This window comes from Homo sapiens, chromosome 15 (genome assembly GCF_000001405.40).
Source record: "Homo sapiens chromosome 15, GRCh38.p14 Primary Assembly".
Lineage (NCBI taxonomy): Eukaryota > Metazoa > Chordata > Mammalia > Primates > Hominidae > Homo > Homo sapiens.
The window spans coordinates 42,824,273-42,837,081 of NC_000015.10; the positions used below are offsets into that span (position 1 = coordinate 42,824,273).

At 36.9% G+C, this 12,809-nt stretch overlaps 1 protein-coding gene across 9 annotated transcripts in view; it reads right to left on the bottom strand.

Annotated features, from left to right (window-relative positions):
- The window catches only part of TTBK2 (tau tubulin kinase 2), a 182,271-nt gene that overhangs the window by 85,543 nt on the left and 83,919 nt on the right, over positions 1-12,809 (bottom strand). For all 9 annotated transcript variants that reach the window (XM_006720402.5, XM_047432189.1, XM_005254173.6 and 6 more), the window contains 2 exons: positions 5,666-5,806; positions 3,656-3,760 (listed from right to left, as the gene is read on the bottom strand). In XM_006720402.5, the coding sequence (XP_006720465.1) occupies positions 3,656-3,760; positions 5,666-5,806 (246 nt within the window). The remainder of the gene's footprint in view (positions 1-3,655; positions 3,761-5,665; positions 5,807-12,809) is intronic.

A 12,809-nucleotide genomic window follows, 5' to 3' on the forward strand; every position in this document is an offset into this window, starting at 1 on the left:
TCTATACATGTGATAAAATTTCATATACCACCCCTCCCCCACCAAAACGTGCATGTTGAACCTGGTAAAATCTAAGTCTGTACTTGAGTTAATAATATTATACCAACATCAATTTCCCAGTTTTGACAATGTACTATGATTATGTAAGGTATTATCACTGGAGGAAGCTGGATGAAGGTACACGGTAACTGTACTATTTTTGTAACTTCTTATGAGTCTTAACTACTTGAAAACAAAAAGACTTAGAAAACAAAGAAAAATATAAAAAATGCTTAAAGTAATATGTCATGATTCTTCATCCTTAATGAATCTTTTCAATTAACAGACCAACTACTATTACATATTGATCAGCCAACAGGGTATTTACTGTGATAATAAAACAGTATCTGTTATGATGAGAACTCGTAGACACAAAGGGAACGATGTACACTGGGGACTACTTCAGGATGGAGGGTGGGAGGAAAGAAAGGAGCAGAAAAAATAACTATTGGGTACTAGGCTTAGTAACCAGGTGATGAAATACTCTATATAACAAACCCTCATGGCATGAGTTTACCTATATAACAAACTTGCACAGGTGCCCCAAACCCAAAATAGAAATGAAAAATAATAATAAAAAATGACAACAATATACATCAAATCAGGGGAAAAAGCAAATAATAATAATAATAAAATAATAAAAAAGCAGAGGAGGCCAGGTACGGTGGCTCACACCTGTAATTTTAGAACTTTGAGAAGCTGAGGCAGGAAGATCACCTGAGCCCAGTAGTTTGAGGCTACAATGGGTTTGATTTTACCACTGCACTCCCGCCTGTGCAACAGAACAAGACCCTGTCTCTTTAAATAATAATAATAAATGTAAAAAGCAGAGGGAAAGGAATATGAGAGGGAAGAGGGAGAGAGGCACTGGATAAAAAAATTAGAAGTAGATTGGGTTAAATTTATAAGCTAAACATGAAGGCCTGTCATGGCAGCTATCTGCATCTGCTCCCTAACTCCAAAACAAGTACCCTCAAGATCTGCAGAAGAGAGAAGAAAGAAAACAAAGAAATTAGTTAACACAAAATATAGAATGGAGAGTATGTCAAGGGCTGCACTGGGTAATATGATAGCCACTTAAAATTAATTGAATTTAAAATTCAGTTCCTGGGCCTGAGTTCAGGTGTGGTGGCTCATGCCTGTAATCCCAGCACTTCAGGAGGCCAAAGAGGGTGGATCCCTTGAGGTGAGGAGTTCAAGACCAGCCTGGCCAACATGGTGAAACCCCATGTCTACTAAAAACGCAAAAAGAAATTAGCTGGGTGTGGTGGCGGGCGCCTGTAGTCCCAGCTACTGGGGAGGCTGAGGCAAGAGAATCACTTGAACCTAGGAGGCGGAGGTAGCAGTGAGTCGAGATGGCGCCATCGCACTCTGGCCTGGGCGACAGAGCGAGACTCCATCTCGAAAAAATAAAATAAAATAAAATAAAATTCAGTTCCTCATTTGCTCTGGCTACAATCCAAGTGCTCTATAGCCACATGTAGCTAGTGGCTACCATATAAGACAGTACAGATACAGAACATTGCTATCATCATAGTAAGCTGTATTTGTCAGTGCTGCTTGAGGAAGAAAAAGGGATATGATCAGGAAAGGACCCACAGCATGCTTCTAAGACGGTAACATGCCATTTCTTAACCTAGATGGAGGCCAGTGATGTTTTGTTATTCTTCCTTAATTTTTTAATGTTTTTTACACTCTTTTGGAATATATATATATATAGCAAGACAAAATAAACAAAATCAAAATACAGATTTCTGCAGATAACATGACGGTATACTTAGACAGTCCAAACAACCAATTCAAGTTTCCTAGCAATAAATAAATAATTGTACATATGAAACAAATCTACAATGGGAACTTTTGATTTTACATTAGTAGAATATGAGAAAATTATTTCAACCACAATCCAAAAAAGTATGACATTAACTTTTATTTTTATATTTATTTTTTATTTTAGATTTATTATTAATTTCATCAAACCAAAACTTTAAAGAAGGAGACAGATCCCAAAACAGACAGGAGCTGAGACCAAATAAGACTTGGTCTCATTTGAATCCCATAAGGAGACCAAATAAGTCCATTTACGATATTGACAGAGTGACATCAATGCCTTACGGTTTTATTGCTAAATTAAGTTTGGCCTAAAACTGCCTCTGTACATGTTTTATGGCTGGCCTACAGGTACTGATGGTAACCTAACTTGATGTGTAAATAGACTGTAAACTACTCTTGTAACAAATAGCCAAGTCTCAGCCAACCACATCAGCCAACTGTTCAAAACAGATTCAAATAAAGCAAATGCCCAGCTATAACCAATCCAGCTGTTTCTGTACCTCAAATTTTCTGTACTCATTTTACTTTTTATGTTCAGACATGTTATCTGACCATGTGACAGCCCCGGAGTCATTCTGAACCTATTCTTATTCTCGGGGCTACCTGATTCATGAATCATTCTTTGCTCAACTAAACTCTGTTCAATTTAGTTTGCCTAATGTTTTCTTTTTAACAAACCTAAAAGCCCTATCAAAAATAGAGGTTGTGGTAAAGGGAACTGGGAGGAAATTCACTGAACATACAGCTTAGAGAATAGCTGGGCAGGAGAGAACTAGGGGGAAAAGATAGCTGAAGGACCTGACGTCAGAACAATGATCAAACACTGACTTCAGAAATGATTCCATTTTAGAAGCCACAATTTGATTAAATTAGTCAAGGTATTTATGCCCCCAAGATATTGTCATAAACAATAAAGTAACTGGCTTGCAATTAGTGAAGTTCAACAGCTGGATGTGGCCAAGGAAAGAGCAGAAGTGAGCCTTACTGGTACCACTACCATCACAGTGTAATTGTGGTCATACCCAAAGACGCACCACCCTGAAGAGCAACAGCAGAGTCTTAATACTGTGTGTATGGTTGGCAGGGAGGGAGGAAGAACGGAATAGATTTCACTAAAATGATCCTGTCGGACACTAAACAAAAAATAACAACAAGCCCTAGAAGGGGGAGACCAGTACCCAGAGTTGCTGTAATATATTACCTAAAATGCCCAGTTTCCAACAAAAAATCATGAGGCATGCAAAGAAACAGGAAAGTATGACTTACACATAGGGGGAAAAAGGCAGGCAACAGAAACTGCCTGTGAGAGTGACCAGATATTGGATTTAACAGAAAAAGATTTCAAAGTAGCCATTATAGATATGTTTTCAGAAATAAAGGACAGCTTGATTAAACAAGTAAAAGAAAATGTGATGACAGTGTGGCACCAAATAGAGAATATCAGTGAAGTGGATATTTGGGAGTGGATTAAAAAGTACAATAACCGAAATAGAATTATAGCATGTAGAAAGGGTCTCATACTGCAAAAATGACCCCTAATCTCAAAGGGTCAATGTGTGTTCTTACTATAAGACCACTCTAAATCTCCCTCTAATATACATTTTTTGAAGCCACAAATTTCAACAATAAAATTTATTGTCATTCTATAATTTAATCATTAAATGTATATGCCACTTCTTAGATAACATCCATTAGGATAAATAATTAGCATTGTTTAAAAAGTGTGATACTATAAATACCAGGGTAATTATCAAATATTTGATAATAATATGAAAAATCTTACTGGTCTGACGTCACCACAGGAATTGGTAAATTGTCGAGCCAAGCCAAAATCAAGCATGTAACATTTCCTACATGTACTAGGAAAGCGACCCATAGCGAAGTTCGACTAGAAAAATAAAGAAGGAAAATATATACATTCTTATAATACTTAGTCCTTACATTTTATCATTCTTACATTTTAAGTCTTCTTCTATTTAAGCTCTATATAACACACATGTTCCAAATATACTATTCTAGTAAATGATGTTTAGTGGTATTAAAATATGATTTAGTTTTGGGTTCTATTAGTGCCTAATATCAGGTAAACTTTGAGCAAAAAAGGATGTAAATGACTAAGGTTACACACAAGACAACATTAACTAGACTTGGAACTCTAAGTTCTTGAAATTCTAGTCTAAGTTAATGCTTAAATGACAGCCCAATCCCTACTTTTTAAAATAGGAGAAATCAGAGATGGACCAAAAAAAAAAAAAACCCCGTAGAAATTTAAAAGAATTTCCTATAAGCAGCCAGGTGCGGTGACTCACGCCTATACTCCCAGCATTTTGGGAGGCCGAGGTGGGTGGATCACGAGGTCAGGAGTTTGAGACCATCCTGACCAACATGGTGAAACCCCGTTTCTACTAAAAAAAAAAAAAATACAAAAATTAACCGGGTGCGGTGGCGCGCGCCTGTTATTCCAGCTACTCAGGAAGCTGAGGCAGGAGAATTGCTTGAATCCAGGAGGCGGAGATTACAGTGAGTTGAGATTGCGCCACGGCACTCCAGCCTGGGTGACAGAGTGAGACTCTGTCACAAAAAAAAAAAAAAAAGATTTTCCTATAAGCATCATAAAGCTGAATTTCACTAAGTCCAAAATTAAAATACAATCTATAGAAACATTTCAAAACAGACTTAAGGAAAATACACTTTGTATTCTTCCCCTAATGAAAATCAGTGTGATATTAAATGACCACAAATGCAAAGATGAGTATGTAAGTAAGAGGACTTGTGACGGTAAAAGCCAAATTGTTACCAGAATTGTTAGTTTTTTTTGTTTTGTTTTAATATTGTTCTACTTAGGGGCTTTCTGATAAAAATAGAAACTCTTCCAAGTACCATAGTTCTCAAATAATGATGCATAGAAATAGACTGACTCTACTACGTTAAATTTAGTTAGCATTTTCATGTAAGCTAATTTTAGAAGTCATGTAACAACTGACGGTTATACTTTTCAACTGTACCAACATATGATACATTTATAGTAAATATGGTATATCAGAAATCGGTCATTTCACCTAATGAACAATCAAACACCAAAAAGGACAAAAAAGCCTATTTCACACTTATGGAAATGACAATTTCTAAGACAAACAGATTAGCAAATAAAAACCCCACTATATTTCCACAGTAGCAGTCAGGAGAAAAATAAGGTCTTTCACAACTGATGATTTCTTATAATTTTTGACTTAACAAATAGTTCAAGAACACAGTATGAACAACTAAAAGCAACATATATAGTTTCTTAACCAATATATCTATAAAAGAAACCAGGGAATAATGCCAATTTAGGCATAAGGTTAAGTAACTGGCAATGTTAGCACACATAATAATAGTCAAACATAAAGCTTTTTAAGAGACAGGGTCTCACTATGCTGCCCAGGCTGGAGTGCAGTGGCTATCCACAGGAGCGATCATAGCTCACTGTACTCTCCCTCTCCTGTACTCAAGGAATCCTCCTGCTTCAGCCTCCTGAGTAGCTGGGACTATGGGCATGTGCCACTGCCCCAGTCTCAGTTTTTATTTTCACTGTATGAGAAAAACTCCTGAAAATAAGTTGTAGTTGTAATTATCACTTAAAAAAATTAACAGGTAAGTTATATTTTTGCTTCCAGGTCTCTATTGGAATGAAAATATTACCTTGTATTTTACCACAGCAAATACACAAAGCTACATTTGTAATTTATTGTGTCCCATCATAACATTAAAAGTATCAAACTCATTCTGTGCTCTGGATAGAAAAGGTCCCTACCGGTTTGATGTCTCGATGCAAGAATCCCACAGAATGAATGCTTTCAATAGACTCCAAAATCTGTCTACCCAGCCGGAGAGTGGTACTAATGGTGAATGTGCCTCGGGACTGGCTACGGCGAAGATCTGCCAGATTCCGACCCTATGGAAATCAAATAAACACTTTCAAATACAGTACTAAAACTATAGTATAAGAGAAGACTGGGAAACTACTCACTTACCATTAAAAGATGTTTTCAGCAAAATAGCAAGAATTTTTTTTTTTTTTGAGAGGGAGTTTCACTCTTGTTGCCCAGGCTGGAGTGCAATGGTGCGATGTCGGCTCACTGCAACCTCCACCTCCCGGGTTCAAGCGATTCTCCTGCTTCAGCCTCCCGAGTAGCTGGGGTTACAGGTGCATGCCATCATGCCCAGCAAATTTTTCTATTTTTAGTAGAGACAGGGTTTCACCATGTTGGTCAGGCTGGTCTCGAACTCCTGACCTCAGGTGATCCACCTGCCTCAGCCTCCCAAAGTGCTGGGATTACAGGCATGAACCACTGCACCCAGCCAATAGCAAGAATTTTACCCAAATTGTGATCCTCTCACTCAACAGATCTCTTAATCACACGAATGTTTCAGACAAGTTTTAGAAAAACCAGATTTTTAGCATATCATGTTTCTGATTCATGTTTCCCTTTATCTCTGAAGTCATAACAAAAAAGTCTTGATTATTTAAAATATAAGTAATCAAATATATAATTTATATTATTTACATTTATATTTATTTATTTAAAATATGTGATCAGGCCAGGAGCAGTGGCTCACGCCTGTAATCCCAGCACTTTGGCAGGCTGAGGTGGGCGGATCATGAGGTCAGGAGATTGAGACTATCCTGGCTAACACGGTGAAACCCTGTCTCTACCAAAAATACAAAAATTTAGCCGGGTGTGGTGGTACGCGCCTGTAGTCCCAGCTACTCGGGAGGCTGAGGCAGAAGAATCACTTGAACCAGGGAGGCGGAGGTTGCAGTGAGCCAAGATCACGCCACCGCACTACAGCCTGGGCAACAGAGCGAGACTCCATCTCAAAAAAAAAATGTATATATGTGTGTGTGTGTGTGTGTGTGTGTGTGTGATCAAGTATATAGAATGCATATACATACAAAGGGCACTAATTCCTCATTACTGCCTAACATATATTCTCATACAAGCTACTTAACTTTCTTCAATCAGTTTCCTCATAAAAACAAGCTAATAAAACCTACCTCACAGAGCTCTGTGAGGATTAAACAAGACCTATATTTAAAGTTTTTTTGTGTGTTTTTTGTTTTTTAAATAGAGATGGAGTCTCGCTATGTTGATCAGGCTGGTCTCAAACTCCTTGTCTCCCATCTCAGCCTCCTGACATGCTGGGATTACAGGTGTGAGCCACCATGCCTGGCCCCATATAAAGTTTTTAGAATACTGTGTGGTACACAACAGGTACTCAACATATGCTAACTATTGTTATTATGACCAAACATTATATGACAAACATTCAATTTACTTGTAGAAGTATATAAAAGCAATGAATACATCCAGCGTCTGCCATTCATGATTGCACTGAAGCTTCACAGTACCCTAAATAGAAGCTGTTCCTGTGTCTGTTTTACAGATAAGGAAACTGAGGTTCAAAGAGGTTAAATAATGTTAATCTGTTAATGTAAAGCTGTTTTCCAAATCTAACTCTGACCCCAAAGTGCTCTTCTTTTACAGTCCTCTTTCACAGAGCTTTTCTACAGACTTTTTCATGATGCTGCTCCACCAAGGTTCCTTGCTGCTTAGGTAACAAACCAGTAATCTGAAAAGGAGAGCAGGACCATGGCCCTGCAGCACTACCTCCCAAAGACTGGCTCTCCTATCGCAAGGGGATTTAAATATCCCAATCTATTCCCACAATTTTATAATATATCTTTAGGGGTACTATGTGACTAATATCATCACTTCATCTAAAGACAATTGATTCACTTTTGAAAAGTAATAAACTCTTAGATTAATATTATTCAAAATAAAATACGAAGTACTCCTCAAGTAACAGTTTAAAAGTTACAGTAAAGTCAGGATCCTTTCATACTTCGTACCTTCTTTTTTAAATGCAGCTTTCTCATAATATAAATTAATTGGGATTTACCATAGTTATTATTTTTAATGGAAATTTGTTGTTCCCTGCACCTGTAGCGAACGTTAAATAAGTGACAGTCTACAGCAGTGAACTGTATAACCACATGAGAGTACCTAATAACTTTTATTAGCATTCCAATAGTTTTTTCTTCAAAAATCAAAATTGTGATGCCGAAAATATACCTAAAATTGAAATTTTATTTGTAAACAGCTTTCACCACAAAAACTTTCAAAAGGAAATCAATTAAATTTTATTTATGACATTAGTAATACTTTAAAAGATTTAAATATTTTAAAATATAAGCCTAACATATCAACTCACAAAATCTGAGAAGGTAAACACAAAACTGATAAGAGTATGGGGTAAAGTGTTATTAACATGGTAAAAACATGCAGGTACGCACTAAATTATACTTTAAATACTGCTAATGAATTATTATTTGTTACAAAGAAAAACCGAAAACACCCTATACAATAGTCCATGGTTATACATGGTTTTACTTTATCCATGGTTTTACTTTGCTGGTTTCAGTTACCCACAGTCAACCGTGGTCCGAATATATTAAATGGAATATGCCAGAAATAAGCAGTTAATAAGTTTTACTTTACAGGCCATTCTGAGTAGTGTGATGAAATCTCATACCATCCTGCTCCGTCAGGCCCAGGACGTGAATCACCCCTTTAGTCCAGCGTATCCACATGTTGTTACCTGCCCATTAATCACTTAGTGGCCCAATCAGTTACCCAGATGTCCAGGGTTCAGTATGATCTGTGGTTTTAGGCATCCACTTGGGGCCTTAGAAAGTATCTCCTCAGATAAGGGGGTACTATTGTAAGTACATTAATAAGTGAATAGTTACATAAATAATAGTACAGTCATCTTACTGACTGATATGCAGTCATTCAAAAAATGAAGAATCAAGAACTTATGAACACAAAGAAGAAAACATCAGACACTGGGGTCTACTGGACGGGGAGGATTGAAGGAGGGAGAGGAGCAGAAAAGATAACTAGTGGGTACTGAGCTTAATACCTGGGTGATGTAATATTACATACAAAAAAAAACCCATGACACATGTTTATCTATGTAACAAACCTTCACATGTACCCCCAAACCTAAAATAAAAATCTTTTAAATAAAATAAAATGTCACAAGCCACCAAATTTTGTAAAAAAAAAAAAAAAAAAAAAAGGAAGAGGACTATATATAGTAATGTGGAATGAATAAAAGAAGCAAGTTCATTTCTCTATAAATTTACAAGATCTCAATAAAAATGCAAGTGAATTGCTAAATTGAAGACATGAAACATACCCAAAAGGAGAAAAAATAATATAATGAACCTTCATGTATCTACTGGTCACCCAGAATTAATAATTATCAATTCATGGCCAGTCTTGTTTCATTATTATTCACCTCCCCATCCATATCCTCTCCCCTCCCACCCACATGTACTGAATTATTTTCATGTAAATTCTAACCATATAATTTCATCTATATACATTAAAAATTGTCGGCCAGGTGTGGTGGCTCACATCTATAATCCCAACACTTTGGGAAGCCAAGGCAGGAGGATCACTTGAGCCCAGGAGTTCAAGACCAGCCTGGGCAACATACTGAGACCTCATCACTACAAAATATTAAAAAGTTAGGGCCAGGCATGGTGGCTCACATCTGCAATCCCAGCACTTTAAGAGGCCAAGGCAGGCGGATCACGAGATCAAGATATCGAGACCATCCTGGCCAACATGGTAAAACCCCGTCTCTACTAAAAATACAAAAATTAGCTGGGCGTGTTGGCAGCGCGTGCCTGTAGTCCAGGCTACTCGGGAGGCTGAGGCAGGAGAATCACTTAAACCCGGGAGGTGGAGGTTGCAGTGAGCCGAGATCACGCCATTGCACTGCAGCCTGGGCGACAGAGAGAGACTCTGTCTCAAAAAAACAAAACAAAACAAAACAAAACAAAATTAGCTGGGCATGGTAGCAGACACTTGTAGTCCCAGCTACTCAGGAAGGTGTGGTAAGAGGATCACTTGACCCCAGGAGGTAGAGGCGGAAGCGAGCTGTGATCACTCCACTGTGCTCCAACCAGAGCAAGACCCCATCTCAAAAAAAAAAAAAGGGGGGGGGTGTATAAAAGGAAAGAGATAAAAATGTAAGTAGAAGTTATTAGCAATTATATCATTGTAAATTTGAATTAGAAACATCGATATGAACCATGGCATAATTTCTCATTTTTTAAAATGTATTTCTTAAATCCATCCACTTGAAAAGAATTAAAAATAATGACCAACTCACTTTCAACAGACACCCACATCATCTAGAATTTGGTCTCTAAACATCATTTCCCATTAAAAGGAGCCAAGGCTTAACGGAGAAATGGCTGATTCCAGATCTGGAGTATGAAATATACAGAATGAGTCTGGTACTCAGTGTGGCACCAAAAAATAAGGATGCTATCAAAGACTGCTGCAGCCTAGTCCTAACAAAATGAATCCAGATCCAACATGAAAGAAGCCCCTGTAGCAAAAGATGAGACAATTTGAATATTAAAAAAACCGTAGGCCAGGTACCTGTAATCCTAGCACTTTGGGGGTTTGAGATTAGCCTGGCCAACATGGGGAAACCCCATCTCTACTAAAAATAAAAAAATTCGCTGGGTATGGTGGCATGAGCCTGTAATCCTAGCTACTTGGGAGGTTGAGGCAGGAGAATCGCTAGAACCCAGGAGGTAGAGGTTGCAGGGAGCCAAGATCGTGCCACTGCACTCCAGACTGGGCAACAGAGTGAGATTCCGTCTCAAAAAAATAAAACTGCAATAATTGAAAGACATCAAACATGTTAAATCCATGAATTTATGGATTTATTATATAGTTATATATTTATTATGTGTTTATATTAGGGAACCAATTCATTATTCTAAAAACTGATAAATAAAATAATCAAGTAGTAGTCCTGCCTTTCCTATATAAAATATACTTGAGGATAACCTAATAGTGAATGTAGTGGTTTTGAAGAAGAATTCTAGTAAACAAAAGAAGAATAAAATGATAGAACACTGTATTTGCAACCCCCATTAAAATAATGGATGATGATTACAAATGGGTTGATAAAACCATTAGGAGAAAAACCACTGGTAACTTTAAAATGGATGGATCAGACTGACAATGCTGAACTCACTGACCAATCTTAACCTCACTGAAAGACAGACAACCAGATACTGCCTCCTGATGTGATTCAAGAGGAAGCATACAACCCACCTCTGAAGTATCCTTGCAAAGTAAAACTGGAATCTTATATAATCATCAATTTATAGAAAATACAGGGGACAGAAATACATATTAAAGACAACCACAGGGAAACAACCAGCAAAATCCAGAATATGGTAATGTGTGCATGTCAAATTCCTCCATTTTTATCAACAACAATAAACACAATGAAAAGAAAATTGCAAGAAAATAAAAGACAGAGGGTGAACCAATTGATTAAAAGAGGCTTAAGAGATAAGCAATGTGTGAACCCTATTTGGAACTCAATTCAAATAAACCAAATGTAAAAAAAAAAATATTTATTAAAGAGATGGACGATCATTGAAACTGAAGATTGGTTTGATATTTGTGTTATTATTAAGGAATTATTATTAGGTATTGTGGTTACTTTAAGAAAAAAAAGAGTTCTTGTCTTCTAGAAATGTATATATAGATAAAATATGCCTTGGATTAGCTATTAATTTCGGGAGGGACAGGAGAAAGAGAAAATACTTGAAACAAGATTAGCCATATACTGATAGTTGTTGAAGTTGGGTAATGAGTAGATGGGTGTAAATTATACTATTCTCTCTACTTTGTGTATGTTTAATTTTTCCCATAATAAAAAGCTTTTAAAAGGTAGTAGGTGTTAGGCAATCTAGACCTACAGTTGTACTGGTTACAGCACTTGAAAAAATGTTTTGCACCTCTGTAGTTGATGTACTTATCACAATATATCACACTTTGGTTATACTAAAGATGCTCATATAAAGCTTCAGTGGTGACAAAATACTAGGTGAGACCTGGCTAAGGTCTTGTAAGGGGAATTCAGAAAAAAAAAATGTGTACAACTGCTTGAGCTCTGTAAGATTTTAAAAAACATTTTAATGGCAAATAGAATTTCTACAACAGAGATAAGGTTGTTCCTTAAAAATTTTTAAGGCAGATATTATGTAATTGAATCAGCAGGAGGAAAAGAACAAGTTTATCTTAAGAATAATGAATTTATGGTTTTTAGAATAAATTAGGACTCTCTGTGGGAAGCTGAATACATGGAGGAGACCCAGTAGTTATCTTCCATATGTCAAATAAGAGAAAATATGCTCTAGCGGTTATACCAGCTTTAGCCTAATCCCAAATCAAGTCAGCCACAAACTGTACAGATGGGAGTTTAAATGGGTTAACTTTCTTGTGACAGGAAAAAAATATAGCATGCAATTCAAATGGAAAAGTTCTTAGACAAATCCATAGGAACTTGCCAAAGGCCACAAAGGTCATCATTGCCTAATATACACCAGTCTCTTAGGTTTCCCAGTACCAGGAGCCTTCCCATTTACAGAAAGTCAGATTTAGGTAAGTACAAGAATGAAAATGAATATATGCTAAGACTCAGAAAGACTCTGCAGACTAAAGAAAAAAAGCTGCTTTATATAATTCTCCAGTCAATAGTAACCTGAGACAAAACAGTTTTCTCTTATTACTGCCTAAAGAATACTGGGTTCAGGCTTCCACCAAGCTTTAATACCCATCAAGTAGGCTAGTACCAGACAAATCACAAACCTCCTTGAGACTCAGCTTCTCCATGTACAAAAGAGGGATAAAACTTGTTCTCTCCTCCCCATGGGGGTATAATGAGGATCAAATAAGATGATAAATCCAGATGAAAACTATAAAATGTCACACAAAAAGTTATATTATTACTAGCCAAAATGAGAGAAAGCAGGATCCAAATTAATGATCTAAAAAGGTTCAGAGGCT